At 41.7% G+C, this 25,355-nt stretch overlaps 1 long non-coding RNA gene across 1 annotated transcript in view, besides 1 other annotated feature; it reads left to right on the forward strand.

Moving 5' to 3' along the window:
• LOC101927598 (uncharacterized) overlaps positions 1-25,355 on the forward strand; it is a 59,204-nt gene that overhangs the window by 33,135 nt on the left and 714 nt on the right. Inside the window, exons 3-7 of the long non-coding RNA XR_002957605.2 lie at positions 9,671-11,330; positions 16,645-18,086; positions 19,099-19,332; positions 19,883-21,174; positions 23,354-23,433. This is a non-coding gene — a long non-coding RNA (uncharacterized LOC101927598). The remainder of the gene's footprint in view (positions 1-9,670; positions 11,331-16,644; positions 18,087-19,098; positions 19,333-19,882; positions 21,175-23,353; positions 23,434-25,355) is intronic.
• Positions 17,053-17,554: an enhancer, noted in NCBI's record as "H3K4me1 hESC enhancer chr14:52282721-52283222 (GRCh37/hg19 assembly coordinates)". NCBI's record gives its function as "activates a minimal SCP1, AML or CMV promoter by ChIP-STARR-seq in naive H9 embryonic stem cells {active_cell/tissue: H9 hESC(naive)}" and the evidence as "EXISTENCE:reporter gene assay evidence [ECO:0000049][PMID:30033119]".

Consider the following 25,355-nt stretch of genomic DNA (forward strand, 5'->3'; position numbering starts at 1 on the left):
TTGTAGGGTTTCTGCCGAGAGATCCGCTGTTAGTCTGATGGGCTTTCCTTTGAGGGTAACCCGACCTTTCTCTCTGGCTGCCCTTAACATTTTTTCCTTCATTTCAACTTTGGTGAATCTGACAATTATGTGTCTTGGAATTGCTCTTCTCGAGGAGTATCTTTGTGGTGTTCTCTGTATTTCCTGAATCTGAACATTGGCCTGCCTTGCTAGATTGGGGAAGTTCTCCTGGATAATATCCTGCAGAGTGTTTTCCAACTTGGTTCCATTCTCCACATCACTTTCAAGTACACCAATCAGACGTAGATTTGGTCTTTTCACATAGTCCCATATTTCTTGGAGGCTTTGCTCATTTCTTTTTATTCTTTTTTCTCTAAACTTCCCTTCTCGCTTCATTTCATTCATTTCATCTTCCATTGCTGATACCCTTTCTTCCAGTTGATCGCATCGGCTCCTGAGGCTTCTGCATTCTTCACGTAGTTCTCGAGCCTTGGTTTTCAGCTCCATCAGCTCCTTTAAGCACTTCTCTGTATTGGTTATTCTAGTTATACATTCTTCTAAATTTTTTTCAAAGTTTTCAACTTCTTTGCCTTTGGTTTGAATGTCCTCCCGTAGCTCAGAGTAATTTGATCGTCTGAAGCCTTCTTCTCTCAGCTCGTCAAAATCATTCTCCATCCAGCTTTGTTCCGTTGCTGGTGAGGAACTGCGTTCCTTTGGAGGAGGAGAGGTGCTTTGCGTTTTAGAGTTTCTAGTTTTTCTGTTCTGTTTTTTCCCCATCTTTGTGGTTTTATCTACTTTTGGTCTTTGATGATGGTGATGTACAGATGGGTTTTCGGTGTAGATGTCCTTTCTGGTTGTTAGTTTTCCTTCTAACAGACAGGACCCTCAGCTGCAGGTCTGTTGGAATACCCTGCTGTGTGAGGTGTCAGTGTGCCCCTGCTGGGGGGTGCCTCCCAGTTAGGCTGCTCAGGGGTCAGGGGTCAGGGACCCACTTAAGGAGGCAGTCTGCCCGTTCTCAGATCTCCAGCTGCGTGCTGGGAGAACCACTGCTCTCTTCAAAGCTGTCAGACAGGGACACTTAAGTGTGCAGAGGTTACTGCTGTCTTTTTGTTTGTCTGTGCCCTGCCCCCAGAGGTGGAGCCTACAGAGGCAGGCAGGCCTCCTTGAGCTGTGGTGGGCTCCATCCAGTTCGAGCTTCCCGGCTGCTTTGTTTACCTAAGCAAGCCTGGGCAATGGCGGGCGCCCCTCCCCCAGCCTCGTTGCCGCCTTGCAGTTTGATCTCAGACTGCTGTGCTAGCAATCAGTGAGATTCCGTGGGCGTAGGACCCTCTGAGCCAGGTGTGGGATATAGTCTCGTGGTGCGCCGTTTTTTAAGCCGGTCTGAAAAGCGCAATATTCGGGTGGGAGTGACCCGATTTTCCAGGTGCGTCCGTCACCCCTTTCTTTGACTCGGAAAGGGAACTCCCTGACCCCTTGCGCTTCCCAGGGCAGGCAATGCCTCGCCCTGCTTCGGCTCGCGCACGGTGCGCACACACACTGGCCTGCGCCCACTGTCTGGCACTCCCTAGTGAGATGCACCTGGTACCTCAGATGGAAATGCAGAAATCACCCGTCTTCTGCGTCGCTCACGCTGGGAGCTGTAGACCGGAGCTGTTCCTATTCGGCCATCTTGGCTCCTCCCCGGAATAATCACTACTGTATCTTTATATGAATTTAAATCACATTTCCAAGTGCCTTACAGTAATCAAATTAAGGTTAATTTGTCATAAGGAAGATGCAAATTAAAACCACATTGTAATATCACTACACACCTACTAGTATGGTTAAAAAGAAAAAAAAAACAGAAAATATCAAGTATTGGTGACAATGTGGAGCAAATAGAACTCTTTTTCAATAATGGTGAGTATATAAAGTGGCACAAACACTTTGGAAACCTGTTTGGCATTATACTATACTAAACCTGAACGCATGCATTGTTTATGACTCAGGAATTCCACTCCTGGGAACCAAAAACAATGCATATATGTGTTGCATATGTTCACCAAAAGACATTTACAAGAATGTTGATAGCAGCACTATTTGAAATCGCCCCCAAGTGGAAACTGCACAAATGTTTAACAGTAGGATGGGTAAAGTATGGTATATTTATGCGATATAATATTATACAGAAACGAGAGTGAGGGATCTGCAAACTAATATGCAACTGTACGAATGAATCTCACAAATATAATGTTGGGTGCTAGAAACCAGGTGCAAATGAATACATGCTGTATGATTTCATTCTTTTAAATTAAAAAAATTAGTCACACAAAGTTTTGCTGTTAGAAGAGAGTGATTTGGTCAGGAGGAGGGGTAGTAACAGGAAGGGAGTTCAAGGAGATTTCTCATTGTTAGTTATGTTCAGTGTCTCAATCTAGGTGTTAAACAGGTGCAATCAAAATTTTAGAATTCATCAATTTGCAGGCTTATGACACATGCACTTCCCTGTATGTGTATTTCAATAAAATGTTTTAAAAAGTAAAATGACAAAAAGACACTACTAACAAAAATGACACTATTATATTAACTGTTATATTAAGGAAAATATAAAAATGAGTTCTATAACAGGGGCTCTGCAGGTCAAGCGGTCATGCTAAGAACCATAAGTGCTCAAGATTCTCATGACCTTTTGGAAGAAGGTTGGGCTTTCTTTCTTTTTTCTTTTCTTTTTTTCATTCTTTTTGTTTCTTTTCTCTTCTTCTCTCTCTTTCTCTTTCTTCTTTCTTTCTTTCACAGGGTCTCACTCTCTCCCAGCCTGGACTGCAGTGGTGCAATCACAGCTCACTGCAGCCTCAAACTTCTAGGCTCAAGTGATCCTCCTGCCTCAACCTCCCAAGTAGCTGGGACTACAGGGGTGCACCACCACACCTGGCCTTGTTTTTCTTTTCTGACAGCTGGTGCTACTCTCTGATAGTACCAACCAATATATCATAGACCTCTCTGCACTATTTGGATTTTATTCCAGGACACCTGAACTGAGGGTAGAGAAGGAAGGAAGAAAGAAGAAAAAAGAAAATCATGACCACCACACTCTCCTGTGAAAATTCTACCTAATGGGTATATTGTTTATAAATCATATGAATCAGCCTGTAACCTAGAATGAAGCCACCAGTGCACAACAAATGCTCTTTTATGGGGTGGGGTTAATGTCTGCAGTTCTGGGCAGCATTGTAATTTGAATACAGGATTTGGTGTGATAATATGTAACAGCAAATGTCAAATTAGGTAGGGGTGTGTACACACTATTTCTATATATATATATAAGTATGTATGAAAGAGTTGGAAACTTACCTATGTAACAAGATATTTTAAAAACAGAGAGAAGGACCCAGAGCAGGTGGTTGAAAGTATCAACATGAGCTAATGCTCCATGAAACATGCTCCATTGCTCATAGGCACATTTCTCACCCTCACTTATCCATTTGGAGATGAATAATTCTTTGTGGTAGGGACTGTTCTGTATATTCCTCTATCTACTAGATGCCAGGCATGCAACCGCCTGTTCAGGTTATTCTAGAGTATGTGTATGAAAGGACAGCTGTTAAGGAAGCAAGTCCAATTCCACAGCTTCAGAAAGTAGATGCCTAAACCTACAGAATGGGAGAAAATTTTTGCAATCTACCCATCTGAAAAAGGGCTAATATCCAGAATCTACAAAGAACTCAAACAAATTTATAAGAAAAAAACAAACAACCCCATCAAAAAGTGGGCAAAGGATATGAACAGACACTTCTCCAAAGAAGACAATTATGTAGCCAACAGACATATGAAAAAATGCTCATCATCACTGGTCATCAGGGAAATGCAAATCAAAACCACAATGAGATACCATCTCATACCAGTTAGAATGGCGATCATTAAAAAGTCAGGAAACAACAGATGCTGGAGAGGATGTGGAGAAACAGGAACACTTTTACGCTGTTGGTGGGAGTGTAAATTGGTTCAACCATTGTGGAAGATAGTGTGGTGATTCCTCAAGGATCTAGAACTAGAATTACCATTGGATCCAGCAATCAAATGGTAATTTGACCCATTACTGGGATATATCCATTAGGTAGAACCCAAAGGATTATAAATTATGCTACTCTAAAGACACATGCACACGTATGTTTATTGCGGCACTATTCACCATAGCAAAGACTTGGAACCAACCCAAATGTCCATCAGTGATAGACTGGATTAAGAAAATGTGGCACATATACACCATGAAATACTATGCAGTCATAAAAAAGGATGAATTCATGTCCTTTGCAGGACATGGATGAAGCTGGAAACCATCATTCTCAGCAAACTATCACAAGGACAGAAAACCAAACACTGCATGTTCTCACTCATAGGTGGGAATTGAACAATAAGACCACTTGGACACAGGGCAGGGAACATCACACACCAGGGCCTGTCAGGGGTTGGGGGCTGGGGGAGGGATAGCATTAGGATAAATACCTAAGGCAAATGATGAGTTGATGGGTGCAGCAAACCAACATGGCACATGTATACCTATGTATCAAACCTGCTTGTTGTGCACATGTACCCTAGAACTTAAAGTATAATAATAATAATTTAAAAAGAGAGTGGATACCTATTAATCAAGAACTAACTACAATTTAGCAAATTTATTTCTAGGCTGGGGGAATGAAGCCTAAGAGTTGGACACAGGAGTCAGTACTTAGCCCTGAGAACATCTCAAAACCAACCCTCCCTCACCTCCAAAAATACCTTCTAGTTTCTGTCCTCAAGAATATCCTCCATTTCTCTACTGTTGAGATAAGGGGAAAGAAGACAATAAAACAAACATCTTGACAACCTTGTGGGGCTTAGCCCAGACTCCCTAGAGAAACTCTCTTGACCAGAAGGCTGTAAGTTGCTTTCCAAAATGGGTTTTTGATGACTACAGAGTGTACTGTCACATAGTAAATGTGGACATTATTTATGTCCCTGGACAACATCCATTTGATTTTCCTTTGGGAAATTCATCCACACGTTTTGGTCACATATTTTGGTTAAATGACCTAGTCTTCAGCTCTAAGGGATTGCCTTAAGTCAATCAGCACCTTCCATCTTCTCTGGCCACAGTGATTAGTTCAGAGATGAGTGTGTTGCCCAGTGCAATGAGACACAATAAATACTAGGAATTGTTGAGAAGATGAGGATTGCTCAGAATGTGGTAGCAACCTAGGTGGTGCTGAGTGAAGTTCTGAGGTTGAGAACTGTGGCAGACATGTTGCTGCCATGAAGGGAATGGGCCTGATGGAAAGAAAGCACTAAGAGTTATGATCAAGACTTACCATTTGATTCCTGGATCAAACTGTACCTGGAGTCAGGGCTCAATCTGGACTATTCAGTTATATAAATCAATTATTTTAATGTTTTCTTTTTAAAATTTAACCCAGGATATAAATTTTCTATCACTTGCAACATAAAGGGTTATAAAAGAAATACTATATAGGCAGATTCTCTGGGAAAACCTCTCCTGGAGGATCTGATTTGGCAGGTCTGAAGAGAACCCAAGAACCTATAGTTTTTGAAGTTCTCCAGTTGATTCCAATAACTAGCCAAATTAGGACATCTCTCTATGGCATGATTCTCAACCCTGGCTGCATGTTAGCATTGCCTGGGAAAGCAAAGACACTCACAGAGCTTCCAAAAATAGATCCTGCCCCAGAAGAATTTCATAAGACTTCGAAGAGTAGTACCTTATCAAAGCTTTGCAGGTTAACGTTTTAAAAATTGGATAATACCAACTGTTGGAGAAGTTATATGAGAGCAACTGGAACTCTCCTACATAGCTGGTAGAAATAGAAATTGATATAGACATTTTAGAAACGTTTGGCGGTATTTACTGAAGCTAAACATATGCCTTCCTTATGGCTCAGCAGTTCCACTCCTAGAATTGAGTGGATATGACATGTGCAAGATTGTTCACAGAAGCTTTATTTATAATAACCAAAAAATGGGAAAATCCAAATGTCCATCAATAGTAGAATGAATAAATTGTTGTATATGCATTTGATAAAATATTACACAGTATTTATTATATATTTATATATAATATAAAAGTACAAACTACTTATAAATTGTAAAAAATCCTTGTAAAATTCATCAAGCTTTACACGTAAGACTAGGGCACTTTACCAGATATATGTCATATCTCAATAAAAAGTAAAAATCAAACAGGAAAAAAAAATGACAGGAATGTGCATCCAGAGTTGAAGAGCCTTGTTCAAGAGCCTCCAGCCTCAAAAGGGCATTTAACAATAGGTCACGCTCTGCTTGGTTTATAGAACGTACCTTGTCCCTCTTATTTCCCTGAAGTCCTTCTTTCAATGGGACGCCATGAAGACTGGCCTTCCTGTGTCATTCGTGCCCCCCAGCCTGGGGGCAATGGGAAGGAGTGAATTAAATGCTCTAAATATTAAACTACTTGTAAACTTCCATTTTTGCTTATAAGAATGTCTTATGCAATGATACCACTGGAAAAGATAAATCCAAAATTTATCTGTGTATCTTCCTTTCCTGTGATATTTTCTAAACTGTAATATGGATGATATGTTGCTTTTTTCTCATATTGTACAGTGAAGAAGCTCCTTGGCATCCTAGGCTGAAAGTGAAATTCATTTTAAAATATCTCTCCTGCCTTCAAATGATGGTCACAGCTATCTGACTGGGAAGCCAATTACATTACAGCCCCCACTCCAGCACATCTTAATAGAGTGCTATACCTCAGCAGGGAACAAAAGTGCGGCTGCCCCTCCTGGCCCAAGGCTGGCAGAGGCTTCTCAGCCCTGCCCAATGCCAGTATCTGAAATAAAAACAAGTAGTTAAATCTTCCCTTCAGATTGAAGATTCCCATCCAGTTCCTAGAATGAATTAAAATCCCATTCAAGATTGACATTATAAAATTCTTAAGATTTCCACTATTTACGGTTGGAGCCTTCTTTTTCCAGTAGTGGGTTTATCTCTAACCCTAGAAAATACCCTTCTCTTTATTTTGACAATAATCATCACAAGCTACTCTGTGCAAAGCAAGATTTCAAAGCAAGTTAAGGTCCAGCTTTTATCCTAATGAGATTTATCAGGGACGTATGACATCTGCAAAAGGAAACATATTATGGTACAAACTATATCAAGATTTTTTTTAAGGGAGTTCAAACAACGTGGCCTGAGGGTTCAGAGTGGCTGAGATCACTTCCAATTAGGAGGAAATAACCAGAACCCCCCCTTGCCAGTCTCTGCCCATGCCATATTTACATAAAGAGCAGTTAGAGGGCAAGAATGATGGAAAAGCAATTGAAACCCTACTGGATCCTCTGGGAGAATGTCAAAGGAAATACAAGAGATTGGCTGCAGCAAATCCCATCCTCCTCCATTTCTCTCTATCTCCCACACACTCTGGATAGAGAGTGGGAGAGGCTGCGATGACCCCAGGCTAATTAGTCTTGTCCTGTAACAGATGGCTTAGATCAGCCTCTACTGTAAACCTCTGATGTTGTTCCTCCCCCTTTCTCTCCATTCACCAAAACAATAAAAACTCTAAGATCTGGAGCTTAGAGTGTACTGATGATGTGATTAGTCTGAGTATTTTATCTTCATTTAATTTTCATCGCCGCCCTCTGAGCTGGATTTAACTCATGTACAAGCTATAGATGAAGAAACCAAAGCATAGAGGAGTCAAGTAGCTTGCCAGATTCTCACAGCTGGTATATGGTAGGCCCAGAACCTTATCCTGGACTCCAAGCCCATGCTGAGATTGTTAAGTGTGAGCTCCATGGAACCTTCCTCCAGAAACAGGGCTCTGGACTACAAAGACAGCCCTCCAGACTGTAGCTGTCCAGGGCCCTGGGGCTGAAGAAAGACTTGCATGACCACAGGAGCTCACACTTACAATCCATACTCTCACTTAGCCTCAAAGTATTTGATGGTAGTATGTTGTCTTTGATTTTTATTTGTATCTATTCATGTCTGTGTGCCTGCCATCTCCGCACCATCATAAGCTGTTGAGGACAGAGACTATGACTTCCAGGACCCACTAGGAATCTGATATTGTCAGGCTGCCTTGACAAGAGTATGGGTTCAATAAACACCTGATTCCCTTTCCCATATTCCCTTTTGCTCCCAGTGCCTAGCACATACTTGGTACTCCAAAAATATTACATGAATCGAAGACAGTAAGGACACAAATGTATTTCAGAATTTTAGGCATAAGTTCTACATACCACTTTCATTTCTGTAACTATATTTTGTATATTTCATGCTACAAAACAAATAATAAATAATGGCAGGAAGGCTTATTACAGAACTATCAGATGAGTTATGGCAGACTAATAGCAATCTTGCCCCAAAGCATCATCTGATCTAATGCATTAGTATGATTACTCTCAGCCTTTGAGTGAATTTAAATCATGCTTTTCTTTCTCTCTGTTAGTAAGAGCAATGATTAACCTGTTCATGAAACAAAACAAATGGAACTGGAAAAATAAGACTCACAAGCCACAGAATATATGACTAATGATCAGAGGGAGAGAGGCTAGCAATATCCGCAGAGGTCTGCCCTCAGCTCACAATTCATTCCCTTAGCTCATCCCCACTTGCCCTCACTCGGGGATCTGTGCTCCGTCACGTGTAGCAGGAGCTGCTGGGTCTCCTGCCCAGACTCTGCTGCTGTAAATCATTGCTCCTCAGAGCTGAGTGTTGCATGCCAAGATTGGAATTGCTAGTATCCAGAATCCTGCGGACAAGCTTCTGCCGTAGACTTCTCCTTTGGATCTGAAAAGTGCCCTTGTAAAAAGGGAATTTCAGTATTGGGAGTCCAAGGTTTGATAAGATGAGGGTTGCAACATGACTAGGTAAATGGAACCTCAGATGACTGTGAGATTACCTTACAGGGCATGGGTTGTGCGTTTCCACCTTACAGAAACAGGGGTTCTATGATAGGAGGAGCACTTCAGAAGCTGAAGAAGCACTTAGACACCCTCCCCTGAAATATTTCTCATTAATCAATTAAATCAAGGCATTTTGGTGCAACGGTGACTCCTTAGGGATTATGTATATATTACTTCTAATCTCCCCTGCCCTGGAGCTTAAACCCTAGGCCTCACCTGACTTCTTTGTGTTTTGCACCAAACTGAGAGCTAGAGCCACCAAATACTACTACTAATTAACATTTATGAAGCACTTACTAAAGCCAGACACTGTTCCAGACCTTTGTATTAGCTTATTTAATTCTCACAACAACTCTCTAAGGTAGGATTTATATTTCCCTGTAATTTATGGTTGAACAAATGGAAGCACAAAGAAGTTTGGTAACTTGCTCAAGCTCAAAGAGTAGGTAAGAGTTGAGATTCAAACCTAGATAAGGGTAGCCCTGGAGCCCACTCTTTAAACTCTGTAATATGGCTATGCTAAGAAAGAACAGTAGGTAGAGATGTCAGAAGAGTCAGAGGCAGAGGTATGTAGAGGGAGAGGGAGAAGATTGCCACAGCTTCCCGTTGCCACTCCTCGCTTCCAAAGATGGAGTCCATATGGGCTGGCTCCGTGACTTGCTTTGACCAATAGAATGTGGCAGAAGTGACATTGTATATGTTAGAGGCCTAAGCTTTAAGAAGTACAATAGCTTCTGCTTTTTCCCTTTTAGAAACCAAGGATAAGAACATTAAGATTATCCTGCTGGAGAGAGAGGCCATGCGGAAGAACCCTGGAAAATGAGACAGCTCACAGAGCAAGAGGCCATGTGGAGAAGGCCTAGAAGTAAAATGCCTCATGGAACAAGAGGCCACATGCAGAAGGCCTGGAGGATGAGACGCCCTGTGAAGTGAGAGGCCACGTGGAGAAGGCCTAGAGGAGGAGACACCTTATGGAGCAAGAGGCCGAATGGAGAAGCCCCAGAGGGTTAGACACCTTGTGGAGCAAGAGGTCACACGCAGAAGTCCTGGGAGTGAGATGCCTCACGAAGCGAGATGCCTCGTGAAGCGAGATGCCTCGTGGAGTGAGAGGCCATGTGGAAGAACCCTGGAACTCAGCGGCTGATAACACAAAGATCCCATGGTGTGAGAGAGGCCTTCATGAACTTCCCGTCCAGCCCAGCTAGAGCCAAATGGAGCCATATGTGTGACCGCAAGTGACATCTACAAAAGAACGACCCAGTCACCCTGAGAATTGTTAGAAATGCAAAGCACTAAGTTTTGGGGTAGTTTGTTACACAGCAATAGCTAACTGATACAGATGGTTTGAATTACTTGACTTTAAAGTTCCTTCTTACCCTGAAAGTTTATGGCTTAGTAAAGTGAATTAAGCACATTTGACTGAAACAGAGAGATGGTGTAGGAAAAGATCAGAAGGTAAGGGCAGGGCAAGGTGAGGAAGGCTTTCCGTGCCACGATAAGGAATTTGAGCTTTAACTGGTAGGTTCTGAAGCTGTCCCAGGAGGAAGTGACATGAGAAGATAGTTTTTTAGGAAGACCCACACTGCAGCAGCATGTAGATCAGACACGTGGGCACACAGAGCAGATGTGAGAGAGAAGGAGGCATGGAGACCTGATTGCTGAGGCAAAAAGATGCAGCTGACAATTATGGAGCAACAAGCTACTGAATACAGAATTGAACATTCAGTCTTCAAGACACAGATGTAAGCTGCTTTCTCTGTATCAGCCTTCTCTGTATCAACTCTTCATTTTTTCCAACTATGATGTTTTTACTTTCAAAAATCCATGGGAGAATACATGGTATGTCGTTAAAAGCCTGGGATTTGAAATAAGAAAGCCTTAGCTTTAAACCCCTTCTCTCACCTTCTAGCTGTGTAACTCTGGGCAAGTTACTGAACCTTGCTGTATCGCAGCTTCTTCATTTGTAAAATGGATATAATGATATTTGTCTCACAGGAGTAATGCAAAGATAAAAACGGATTATGTCTCATGCATTTACTTTTACTAAATGGCTAAATGCTCAAGCAACACAAATACATGATTATTTCTCTTTCACGTAACAGTCCAGGTTGGGAGTGTCAGGTTGAGGGGTGGATCTTTTTCACATCTTCTTGAAAGAATTCGTGGTAAAAGCTGTCTTCAGTTTATGCCTTCCAAGGTTCTTTTGGCCATCGCCATTCCAGAAAGAAGAGGAGAAGAGAGCATGAAGGAGCCCGCCTAACATGTTTTATCTGGCTTCTCAGAAATGGCACATGCTTCTACTTGCATTCCATTGGCAAGAACACACGGCACACCAGCTGCCCACGGGGATAGGGAATCCCAGCTAGAATTCCATCCAATAGAAGACAGAGGGGAGAGAAGAGCAGGGTATTGGTAAGTGTCACAGAATTGCTAAACCAACCTGATTGCACATATCTACCACCAGACCACACACCATCCCAGTTCAATCATCACCCTTTGGGATCCAGCCTGGACATCACAATTTTTAAAATCTCCTGAAGTGACTCTAATGCGCAGCAAAGTTTAAGAACCACTGGCTTAAGCCACCATTACTTGGTTTTTCTATGGCTTGCAGCTGAAATCATTTCTAACTTATAGGTTTTCAGGGGAGGTGCTTCTCAGCCTTGCCTGAACATTAGAATCACCTGGAAAGGTTTAAAAACATTTCAAGCCTGGGCAGCAGGGTGAAACCACATCTCAACAAAAAATTTAAAAATTAGCCTGGTATGGTGGTGTGCCTGTAGTCCTAGCTACTTGGGAAGCCAAAGGGAGAGGATTGTTGAGACCAGGAGGTTGAGGCTGCGGTGAGCCATGATCACGCTACTGCAGTCCAGCCTGGGGGATAGAGCAAGTTCTTGCCTCAAAACAAACAAACACAAAACATTTTAGTGGCAGGCCATGCATGGTGGGCCAGTAATGTTGGTATTACTGCTGTAATTTCAGCACTTTGGCAGGCTAAGGTGGGAGGATTGGATGAGACCAAGAGTTCAAGACCAGCCTAGGGAACACAGTGAGACCCTCATCTCTTCAAAAAAAATTTTTTTAATTAGCAGACATGATATTTGGGAGGCTGATACAGGAGGATCAGCCAGAAGGTTGAGGCTGCAGTGAGCCGTGATCACACCACTGTACTCCAGCCTGGGCAACAGAGCAAGACCCAAGCCCTAAACAAACAAACAAACAAACTTCAATGCCCAGGCTGTACTCCAGACCAATCATATCAGAGTTTCTAGGGGTGGGACTCAAACATCTGTAGTTGTTAAAGCTTTCCAGGTGATTCTGATGTGCAGACAAGTTTAGGAACCACCGTGCTCAAAAAATGGTTACATTGTTGAGACTTACCTCCTGCACACCTCTCTGTCTTATGGGTTAAGACTGCACTTCTCAGCCTGGCACAGTGGCTCATGCCTGTAATCCCAACACTTTAGGGGACCAAGACAAGGGGATTCCTTTTGTTTGGGAGTTCAAGACTGGCCTAGACAACATATTCAGACCTCATCTCTACTAAAAATTTTAAAAATCAGCCAGGTGTGGTGGCACACACCTACAGTCCCAGCTACTCAGGAGGCTCAGGCAGGAGGATCTCTTGAGCCTGGGAGATAGAGGCTGCAGTGAGCCATGACCTCATGACAGAGCAAGACCCTGTCCAAAAAAAAAAAAAAAAAAAAAGAGACTGCACTTCTCAAACTGCAATGAGTATAGGAATTTTCTGGGGTCCTTGTTAAAACACAGACTCTGATTCAGTAGGTCTAGGGTGGCACCTGAGATTCTGCATTTCTAACAAGCTCCCAGGGGAAGCTGGCCTACTAATACATGGTCCACACTTTGAGTAGCAAGGGGTTAAGCTACCATAAGGAGTTCTGTAACTCTAAGTTACAATTTAGCAGTTAGTTACATGAATAAAAATGTTTGATAATCAGTGAGGAATATACTTTCTTGTTCTTTCCTTCAAGGGAACTATCATCCCATAAAAATGTAATAAATACTTGCATATTTCAAGCTGTCTAGAGGGCTGTTTCAAATTACCCCATGAGACATCTCAAAAAAGAAATAGTCCTCTCTCAGTACCCAAGGGGAATTGGTTCCAGGACCTCCATGGATACCAAAATCCACAGATGCTCAAGTCCTGGATATAAAATGGTGTAATATTTGCATATAATCTATACACATTGTCCTGTATACTTTAAATAATCTCCAGATTACTTAAAATGCCTAATACAATGTAAGTGCTATATAAATAGTTGTCACACTGTATTTTGTTTGTATTATTTTTTATTGTTGTGTTATTATTTTTTCCCAGATATTTTAGATCTGCAGTTGATTGACTCCACAAATGTGAAACTGGTGGAAACAGGGCCAGCTGTTTTCGACAGATATCCTCTCTTTGAGGAAAAATGGCTTGATCTTTTGTCCAAGGAAGTTAGAAAACTGTAGGCAGAGAAAGTCTGCGTCATCATTTTTTAAAATTTTAAACCAAATTTTTTCATTTTAACAAATTTATTTGTCCTTAAACTAATAGCAAAGTGCTGACAATAACTTCCAGAAGAAAATGCAGGAATGCTTTCTTAAAGAGGAAGCAAAATGAGTACAAACCACAGAGGAAATGGATACACTTCACTATCCTGGAATTAGAACTTCTGTGCATCTAAAGCTCATCAAAACTGAAAACATAAGCAATATCAATTTTCTCTTATCCCATTCTTTCTTGAATTTCCTCCAAGCTTGCGCTTACCAAGGTCTGACAACCTGCCCTTTGAGAAACCCAGTGTTCAATGCAAGGCCTCAGCTAACTTTACCTTATTCTCCAAAAGCTGTGTTCTCTTGATTTACAGAATACTTCTCACTTGCTCTTTTATTATTACCTTTTAAAAAAGAAATACCATATGCACATGCTTAAAATTGATTTGTATTTAGAGACTTATAAATGAAAAAAACCCAAAGGTCATTTTCCCCTCCTTACCTCTCCTGATGCCTGTTCCCCAATGACAACTGCTTTCCACTCTTTACCTTTTTCTTCCAATATTTAAGTGAATAATATTCTTTTTATTTTTTGGCTGGGGTGTGGTGGCTTATGCCCATAATTCCAGCACTTTGGGAGGCCATGGCAGGAGGATCGCTTGAACCCAGGAGTTAGAGACCAGCCTGGGCCACATGGTGAAACCTCACCTCTACAAAAGATACAAAAATTAGTTGGGTGTGATGGTGTATGCCTGTAGTCCCAGCTCCTTGGTAGGCTGAGGTGGGAGGATCGATTGAGCCTGGCAGGTCGAGGCTGCAGTGAGCCTTGATCACACCACTGCACTCCAGCCTGGGTGACAGAGTGAGACCCTGCCTCAGAATAAAAAAAATGTGTATTTTTTAATTTATCACTTTTAGACATTTGGCAAAGACAGGATCTGTCACATCTCTTCCTTGTTATAGGAAAGTCTTTCTCTTTGCAATAAATAAGTATTCTGCACAATAATATTATTTGGTCCCTCTGCAGCCTGTCACCTGTTACCTGGTAAGTAGTTTTATTCATGGCATTCATTGATCCCTTCTTGCCTTAATCAGTTATTACATTGGGGTTGCAAATGGTTATTTTTCTATCTAAGTTCACATTTCTTATCCAGCATGTTTTCTTTCTTTTCTTTTTTTCTGTTATGTCAATATGTTGGCATTAGTTATACTCATTATTATTTTTGATGCTTTAATTGTTCCAAATTTGGCTAATGGGAGCCCTTCAGGCTGCTTCCTGTAAACTTTTGACATGATCCCATTAGTTCTTGAGTATTTCCTTAATTTCTGGAACAACAAGATGTCAAGGTTCACCTGTACTCTATCTGCTCTAGACTTGAACCTAGCCATTTCCGCCAAAAAGCCTTAATACCTTTTAGTGGAGAATGCTTTTTTGGTTTTCTTATTATAAAAGTAATACACGCTTATTGTAGAAAAATAGAACATAAAGAAAAATATAAAGAAGACAATAAAAACCATATATTTCTCTAGCATTTAGAGCTAGCCTCTCTTAATTTAGTATACTTATTTCCAGGCTTTTTTCTATTAAAAAAAAAAAAAGAAATTTCTCCTCTTCTAATTCTTCCTTGCTAGGTGAGCATGGGAATGCTATTTAACTGCTCGTAACTTACTTTTCTCAACTATAAGATGAGATTAATAGTAGTTTCTCCTACATAGCATTGTTTTGGCAATTAAATTAAGTAATAAAGTGTTTATTACAGAGTCTATCACATAGTAAGGTCTCAATCATACTATTAGAATTATCATGTCAGTTCAGAATGGTGAGTAGGATTTGAGCTAACATAAATGGGAGAGGAGGATTTAGGCTTATGGTGGGGAGATAGAGGGGCATTCTGAGAGAAAGAAAAAATCATAGCACAAGGTCTATTGAGCAAACCTGTTGAACCAGAGTTATGAAGATTAAATAAAATTGCTGTCATGGCTGGGTATGGTGTCATGCCTATAATCCCAGGATTTTGGGAGGCTGAGGTGGGAGGATCACTTGAGCCCAGGAGGTCAAGGCTGCAGTGAGCCATGATCACGCCACCACACTCCAGCCTGGGTGACAGAGCAAGACGTCTCAAAAAAAAAAAAAAAAAAATTACTCTTGGCCAGGCATGGTGGCTTACACTTGAGGCAGGGAGTTCGATACCAGACTGGCCGATATGGCAAAACTCCATTTCTACTAAAAATATAAAAATTAGCCAGGTGTGATGGCATGCGCCTGTAGTCCCAGATACTCAGGAGGCTGAGGTGGGAGGATCGCATCTACCTGGTTTCAAAGCCTCCCTACTCTGCGTCTTCTTTCAGAGCTGATAAATTTAGTTTTTATTTTATGTATTGATTTATTCTTAGAGACAGGGTCCACTGTGTCTCCCAGGCTGGAGTGCAGTGGTGAGATCATAGCTCACTGCAGCCTTGACCTCCTGGACTCAAGTGATCTTCCTGCCTCAGCCTTCCAAGTAGACTGGGACTACAGGTGTGACCCATCATGCCTGGCTCATTTTTTATTTTTTGTAGAGATGGGATCTTGCTATGTTGCCCAGGCTGGTCTCAAACTCCTGAGCTTAAGTGATCCTCCCATCTCAGCCTTCCAAAGTGCTGGGATTACAGGCATAAACCACTGTGCCTGAACCAGATCTGATAAATTTCTTAAAGGTACCCTGGGCACACTAAGACGGTTATAAAGTGTCAAGCATGTATATATGCCACTCCTAGCTGTGTGACTGCAGAAAAATTACTTAACTTCCTTCATTATTTAGAATAAGAATTACAAGTATATATACATATATAGTATATATATAGTATAAGGTCATTATTATATGTATTATTATTTTATATATATGTATATAGTATATATATAATATAAGGGTCATTGTAAGAATATAGTATAAGGTCATATATATATAGTATAAGGTCATTGTAAGAACAAACACAATGTCATATATGTAGCACCTAACACCATGCCTCCCAGTCCTATATGCAGGACAAACAACAAACAGTAGTGTTTATTTATGATGATATAGTTGAGACTGAAAATCTTTCTAGTTTCAGCATTCAGACCCCCCCGCTGCCCATCATTATGTTGTTTCTTATTAAATTTCTAAGCTAGAATCTCCATTAGATACATTGCCTTAAATGTGCAGAACATACATATTAAAAAAGAATCTCCTGTCTGTTCCCACTACAGGTATCCACGCAATTCATCCATTTATTCCTCAAGCATGTGTTAAGCGTTTGGCGATGCTTCACGATGTTGGACTCTGGACATTCACAGAAGATGAACACATCTCACAAAAGGTGAAAATGTTTAAATCACCTGGGATAAAGAACATTCAGGGTTGAAAGAATACATGTTTGGTTATAATACTGCTTATTAAGCAAGTAGAAAATTAGAGTAAATATCAGCCCTTTAAGAAGACAGATCTTCCAGAGAGCCTTAAAGGCAAGGTGGGCATTTGATGGTTTTATCTGGGAACATGCACTCCAGGTTCACCGTGAGCAGGTGAGAGACATGGCTACACCTCTGAAATGCTGCAAGTTCATTTTTGAAGGATTTGTCATAGTAAAACAGAAAAAGTTCCCTTATCCCCCTTACAGGGCGTGACAAGGGGAGTGGCTCCCTTCTTCCGCGCCCTGCAGCCTAAACCCCTAGGGAGAGCATGCAGTCGGGCAGGTAGTAGGGAGCGTGGGCTCCAACCCCACCGCAGCGTCTAGGGTTGAGTGTTTACAGTTTTCGAAGCCCCGGTGAGCGTGTGTTGCAGCGTGCTTTTTCAGCTTAGCCATCCGCAGGCGGCTTGTATTAATCAGCTCAATTAGACCCTCTGCCTTATCGCAAGGACAGAGGGCTTTTTGTATCCTGGGGTTCTTGCCTAGTGTACTGGAAAAATCTGATCATACATGGGCTTGGAGAATGAGTGCAAGGTTTTATTGAGTGGTGGAAGTAGCTCTTAGCAGATGGATGGGAAGCCGGAAGAGGGATGGAGTGGGAAGGGGTCTTCCCCTGGAGTCAGGCCGCTCAGTGGCTGGGCTTGCTTCTGACTGCCCTCTGCCAAATTTCCCTCAGCGTCTGCGTGGTTCCACCGTCGATGGCCTGCTAGTGTTTTTCTGCGAGTGTGTTCCTCTCGACGCCCAGCTGCTTGTACATGTGCCCACTAGGGTCTCTCGGGTTTCTATGGGCATGGGATGGCGGGGGGTTGTGGCGGGCCAGGGTGGTCTTGGAAAATGCAACTTTTGGGCGTGAAAACAGGAATGCCTGTCCTCACTTAGGTCCGTGGGCACAGGCCTGAGGGTGGAGCCCTGGCCAGGGACCCCATCCTTCTCTACCCAGCACCTCCCTGCCCCCTCCCGTATCAATAGCAATGATGAAGGACTCACGCAGCCATCTTTTCAGGAGCATGTGACAGCCTGCATGACCGGAGCCAATGGTGAATGTTTAAATTCTGGGTCCCGAAGCAATATCTTGGGAAGGGCCTTCCTCTGTCCCACAGCTTCTAAAAATGTTCTGTGCTTATAGTATTGGCTCAGTTTTGTGGATGTGTTTCTGGGATTATTCAGTGACCTCAGACAGGCTGCTCCAAGTCTCCCTGGACCACCTGCGTAGTTCAGCCATATTCTACAGTGAGCACTTAGGTAAGAAAAAGAGGACAATTTATTGGATATAACTGGGGAGGGAGGACAGAAGAAGAGATAGAAATGGTACTTAGCCATTTCTAAGACAATGGGTTAAGCCACTTGCTGAGCCCCCCCTCCCCCTCCCCCCGGCCACGGCCTTATCCATTAAACACATAGTTTTGAGTCCTTTTTACAGCTAAATAAAACCGCCACATCTCATTGGGACAAAGTTATTCAGAGACACAGAAACAATGGCTCCTGCCAACCACAGACCATGCACAGCATGCACAGGGGTCTTTACCTTTATAGTCCCAGAAGGGACTGGGAGAGGGTTGGAGGGCATGGAGGATATCAGCCTATGAAATACCAACTGCAGCAGCCCCAGCTCCTATTATGAAACAATCCACTGTTCTCTCTTCCTCAAGTCTTATCGGAAGCAAGAATATTATTTTTCATTGGCTCATTTACCCTAAGGTCCCATGAGAGGGAAGATAATCTGTGATTATTGGCTTGATCTCTGTACCCTACTTAGGGACACAAGTTTAATAAATCAGAGCATTTTTCTAGTTGGGTCAGATTGGCCAGGGTAAAATGAACATTTGCTTCAGGACACATTTTAGGCTAAACCATTCTCTGTATCTTCGTTTTCTGTAAATATACTTTCAGGGGTGAGTAACAAAAACTTCAACTTGAACTGGATTAAAAAATAAAGAATTTGGCAGGGTGTGGTGGCTCATGCTTGTAATCCCAGCACTTTGGGAGGCCGAGGTGGGAGGACTGCTTGAGCCTAGGAGTTCGGGACCAGCCTGGGCAACATAGGGAGACCACCATCCCTGCAAAAAATTGAAAAATTATCTGTGTGTGGTGGTGCACATCTGTGATCCCAGCTACTTGGGAGGCTGAGGTGGGAGTTTCGGCTGAGCCCAAGAGGTTGACGCTGCAGTAAGCCGTGATCATACTACTGCACTCCAGGCAGAGTAAGACCCTGTCTCAAAAAGAAGTAAATAAAAATAAATTTACATTGTTGCAGAACAGGACATGCAGGGGCTACACAGGCATCAAGGCTGGCTGATTCCACAGAGCAAGAATGTCAACAAGGATCCAGCTTATTTTTGCCTCTTCACCCCACCATCTTTTATGTCAGCCTCGTCCTCAGGGAAGTAGGATGCAACAGTTCCAGCTGGACACGACAATACTCACAGGAAGACGAAAGAGACTCTTATTGCTGCTGTATCGTGGGAACCTTGTCCCCGATGCCCATCAGGTTTCACCCTCCCTCCATGCTTCATTGGTTCCTTAATTGGATACTGGCAAGGAAAATGAAATTAAATTACCCTTGGCCATCAATGCCACCCCCAAGCTAGAGATGGGGTCAGTGTCACCTGAGGCACCTAGCTGAGTGAAGAAGGCATGGAGTGCTGAACAAATTGGGGTTCTTCTAGTGTGGAAGTCAGGGGAGTGGATGCTGGCTGGGTAGCTTACATTTAGTTGCAGGAAACAGAAAACCTGACTTACAAGTGGCTTAAGCCAAAAAATTATTTCTCTCTCATAATATAAATTATTGCCCTAGCTCGCTGCTGGCACAGATTCAGTGGCTTGATGATGTCATGGTCAGCAACGTGGTGAGGCTCTTGACCTTTCCCTCATGCTTGTGACCTTGTGGTTCCAAGGTGGGCTTCAAGTTCATACATCATGTCTGGATTCAAAGCAGGAAAAAGGGGAAAAGGGGTATGGGCTGTATACAACGCTACGTAAAATGTGCTGGAATCTGAGGGGCATATGCAAAAGTAGATTTAATTTCTCTTCCTTACAAGGGTCAACTATTTACATGGGAAGGAAAAACATACCCCGCAACTACAACCTGATGTCAGTACCAAGAGCAGTATGCAAACGACTATTACGGGCGCTCAGAAGCATCACAATGGAAGGGAAGTTGCAGCTGCCTATACCCACACCCACATCTTGTCTACCTGCCTGCTGCGTCACAGCCTGGCTGCATTACTGGGCTCACTTCAGTTCCAAGAAAGCTTCCAGAAATCATGGCAGGCACACCTGCAGTGAGCAGATCTGTGTCTACTTGTCCTTTAAGTGGACACCACTTTTCTGTTCAGAGCACAGATCAATGTGTCAGACAGAGCTCTTGGATGACAATATTGTCCTGGCAGGGATCCAGAGCGGCTGGGGATAGAGAATATTAAATGGGTCTGGTGCAGAACAGTTGAGGTGTGACTGGATGTGACAGAGGACAGCACCTCTTTGACAATGACATTATGTGAGTTTGGGTGGGCTCTCAGCTCAGGTTTCAGATGGCCAGGCATCTGTTGCTGGCCGCCATTCTGTTGACATTTTACATTTTGTGACCATAAATTAACTTTGGAAGAAGTTGATAGACAAGTAGGTCATTATTTGGGTGTTCCTGTGTTTCTCATAACATTTTAAATTCAGTCAGGGCAGAAAATATATATGTCTTTCCTTTATACCATTACCCTAATCCCTGGCACATGGTGGGTTTCCTCTTGACTTTAGTGGAACGTGCCTGGACCTTAACAATCCCAACACCCCACCTTCCCCGCAACCCTGTCTTCTTCCCCATCTCTCCAGCTGGCTTCCTGCCTTGTTTTCTCCTCACATAGATTTAACAGATGCTCTGAGCCCCGCAGTGCACTTCAGTTCTATTCTCTGCACTCGCCATGGCACTTGGCACCATTAACTGCAGCTCTCTCTGCCTTGACATCTGCACCCCACTCTCCCCTGTGTGTTTTTTCTTTGGGGGTTTCTTATCAGGCGCCTCTTCTTTAAATGCTTGTTTTCCTTTGAGCCCTGTCCAAAGCTCTAGGTTCCATTTTCCACTTTCTACGTTCTATCTGGTCCTTCATTCAAATTTACAGCTCACATCTCTGCTTTTGCCTCTAGCCCAGATCTCTCTCTCTCTCTCTCTCTCTCTCTCTCTCTCTGTCTTTCAAACCTTACACAACTTGAGACATCTTCACTCACATATCCTGCAGGTACACCGAACTCAACATGGTCAATACAGGAGACAGTCTCTCACCCCAAAATGGAATTTCTCTCTTTTTAAAGGAAACCAGCATTCATAAGCCAGAAGCCAGTGAGTCATCCCAGAATCCCCCATGTATAGATTGCATGTGTCAGTCATACTGCAATTATTATTATCATTAGTTATTATTATTAGTTTGAGACAGGGTCTTGCTCTGTTGGCCAGGCTGGAATGCAGTGACACAATCATTGCAGCCACCAACTTCTAGCCTCAAGCAATCCTCCTGCCTTAGCTTCCCAAAGTGCCGGGGTTACAGGCAGGAGCCACTGTGCCTGGTCTACGCTTATTTTGAATCCTGCTTTTCTGCTAAGAATATCCTAATTTTTTTATATTGTTAAATATTTATTGTATTATTATGAAAAATGTTTTTGTTCCTTCTTAAACAACAGATGGCTATGGATGGGAGATAATTTGATAAATACAGAAAGCATAAAGAGTAAATAACAATTATAATCCCACTCCTCAGAAGTACCGTTATTAATATTTTACAAGTTTATTATACTCTCTAAAATGCATTTTCCATAACTGAACTACATTTTATACTGCTGCAGATTCCTTCAGGCATTATGAAATTAGAAACATTTTCTTGTGCAATTTAAAATATTTCCCAAATAACTTGTAATAATTGCATAAAACTCCATTTTATGGTTATTCCATAGTTTATTCAACTACTCCTCAAACGTTGGACTTTCAGGCTGTTTCCAATTTGTTACAAGTTGTTGCAAATAACATCCTTATGTATACATGTCTGTGTTTCATAATGTAAATTTCTGGTAGTGGAATTAATCTGTCAAATTATGTGAATATTTAAAAGACATTTGATATATATTGTCAAAATAGATGGATGCCTTCCAGAAAGTTTTTATCAGTTTGTCCTCCCACCGCATAGAAGAAGGTATTTCTCACTGAACTCTCTCCCCCAACACTAGGAAGTTACTATCCGACTTACAAATCTTTAAAAAAAAAATCCCATCTGACCATTGCTTTAATTTTTGTTTTTCACTTAAAATGTGATTGAAGACTTCAGCATTTTTAAATTGTCATTTATAAATTGGCTTTATATAATAAATTATTTATGCCCTTTGGGATATTACTTTTTATAGAACTGTTAAGCATTTTCCATAATGATTTATATAAGTTCTCAATATTGGAACATTAACTTTTATTAATATTTTTCGCAAATGTTTTCTTAGCTTAGTGTTTACTCTTTAATTTTCTTAATGATTATTTTTATATATAGGAGATTTTAATGGTTATGTAGTCAACCCAATATTTTCCTTTATGGTTTCTTCTATTGATTTTAACCTTAGAAAGTGCCTCTCTATCCATAAATCTCTTCTATTGATTTTAACCTTAGAAAAGGCCTCTCCATCCATAAATCAAATATTTAGCTACCTTTCCTTCTACTATTTTTATGTTTTGTTGTACTTTTACATTTAAAGCTTTTATCCACTTGAGTTTATTTTGGCATGCCATGTGAAAAAAAGATCTAACTTGATTTTTTTTTCCTGAGAGTTGAGCAGTTGGGTGAGCATCATTTTTATAACATTATAATATCTTGCATTGAATTGCATTTCAAGACAAGATTGCTAAAAGGAAGCCAGAATAATGTTTCTGATGAAGTAAACCTTATAATGTAATTTAGAACGTGAGTGAAGGCTATGGCATCCCAGGAGGTGGGGAGAGGGTGGGCCAAGTATGAGTTAGGCCTTGGTGGCAGGAATGAGTTATATTTCTGGAAATATCTTTGGTGGGTGCAGGTACAAATAGAAAAAGCAGGAGTGAGGTTATGGAATCTCTCAGGCCCAGGAGCATTCACACATATGAAAGACTGATTTACCAATGCCTAGATATGATGTTGCCACTTACATTTCTTTGGAGGTCTATAAATACAATGAGATGGGAATGAGAGAGAGCAGATGGGGAAGATGTGATTTTAATTTGCATCATTTCATACCCAGACCTCAATCCTGACCCTGTGTTAAACAATGACTCATTTCTCTGCAAATTGCTAAATGTTTTAAAGAATATAAAAACTTTTTATAAATGGAATGCAAGTTTGTCTGCAAAATCCTAGGCTGCCTTATTAATGTGTGCAGTTCATAAGTTTACTCAAAAGTTGGGGTGACTTTTCAATAGGAGAGGAATCACTAATGAGGCCATTTCCTTCACCACGGGTGTAGACCAAGAGTGTCAGGACATGTGACGTTTGTCTGCCTTTGGTTAACAGATCTGGATTTTGTCTGGAAACTCAAGTATAAGACCTAGCACCACTTGCCAAGGACCTCTGCTTTGCTTTGGTAGGCCAAGGTAAGCTACCGTATGCACGGTCCTGGGAAATTTACCTTGTTCCCTTTTTAGTTATAACATAATGACTTTATTTCTCATAATATCAGCATTGCCATGCATAACCGAGGGCATACAAGAAAAAAAGAAAAGAGAGAGGGAGACGGAATATATTGCAGCTGCACACACACACACATACACACACACACACACACACACACACCTTGGCTCAGCTTTACTGATGAGATCTTGACTTAGAAATGAAACAATCTTGTAATTCATGCAATTTATGAAACAGACCAAAAAGCATCACTAAATAAGTAGTTGTCACAGAAACATAACAAATCCTTAAGTTACCCAGCCACAGCCTATGTGGCTACACAGCCTATACAAACAACCAAGATTTTTCTCCAAAAAAACAGTAGAATATTCAAGCTGGTAGCAACTCAAACCATATTGTAGTGCAACTCCTTTGTGTTACATTTTGAGGTTTTCAACTTGATTTTACAACGTTTTCTTATCATTTACTAGTTGTTTCCTAATGACTATTTCTCAGCTTGCTTTTCCAGCCAGGTTACAAATTCCTTGAGCACAGAGCCTGTGTCACCTCCTCACGCCCACAAGCCTGGCTCATTGCCTTGCACATGAGAGATGCTCGTGCAGAGGATGGTGTTGGTGCTGCACACGCACCTTTCAGTACAATCCCTGACAAGAAAATACTGCAACTGCATTCATTCTGGGTTGTCTGATGACCCTTAAGGATGAATGAGGCAAGCTTGAATTATAATAACATATATGCTGGCAAAATGAACTGGCACCAGGCAAAAAATGAGTTAGCTGCCTTGTTTTTCAAGAATGTTGTTTTGATTTGTGGCTTGTCCAGGTCCCTGGCTTTTCTCACCTTGGGAAGAAGTGAGAACAGAGAAATGCAGACTTCTCAATCTGGGTGTTAAAGCCAGTTTCTTGTAGCAGTCTGGTCAAGCACAGTTTGACCACTGGCATGAACTACTCAAAGCCCCCAAGAGCCTCTTCTCTCAGAGTGTTGTCTTTACCCATGTTTTTAAAATAGTGATTACAAATGGAAATTTTGTTCACTGGCGATTTAAAGAACTGTGAGCTGTTAACTTTTTAAAATAGTTTTTATTGAGGTATAAATAAAATAATCCAGCTTTAGAGCATTTCTGTCACCTCAAAATGTATCCTCACGCCTGTGTGTAGTAAATCCTGGCTCCCACCCCCAGCCCTGGGCAAACGCTGACCTGTTTCTGTCTCTACAAATTGCCTTTCCTGAACACTTCATGTAAGTGGAATCATACATACGATATGCTGTTTTGTATATCTGGCCTCCTTCACGTAGCACAATGTTTTTGACCTTCACCTCTGTTGTAGTCTGAATCCGTAGTTTTTTCATTTCAATTGTTGAATATTATTCTGCTGTATGGATTTACCATATTTTGTTGGTCAATTCTCCAGCTGATGGATATTTGGAAAGTTTCCAGTTTGGTCTATGATGAATCATCCTCCCATGAACATTCACATCTGTGTCTTTATGTTGTACAGGTGTTTTTTTTCTCTTGTAAAAATTCCTGGGAGTGGAATTGCTGGGTCATACAATAAGTTTGTTTAACTTTTTAAGAAACCACCAGGCCGGGTGCAGTGGGTCACGCCTGTAATCCTAGCACTTTGGGAGGCCGAGGCAGGCAGATCACGAGGTCAGGAGTTCAAGACCAGCCTGGCCAATATGGTGAAACCCCGTCTCTGCTAAAAATACAAAAAGCCAGGTGTGGTGGTGCACACCTGTAGTCCCAGCTGCTTGGGAGACTGAGGCAGAAGAATCACTTGAACCCAGGAGGCGGAGGTTACAGTGAGCCGAGATCTTGCCATTGCACTCCAGCCTGGGTGACAGAGCAAAACTCTGTCTCAAAAAAAAAAAAAAAGAAAAAAAG

Source organism: Homo sapiens, chromosome 14 (assembly GCF_000001405.40).
Source record: "Homo sapiens chromosome 14, GRCh38.p14 Primary Assembly".
NCBI lineage: Eukaryota > Metazoa > Chordata > Mammalia > Primates > Hominidae > Homo > Homo sapiens.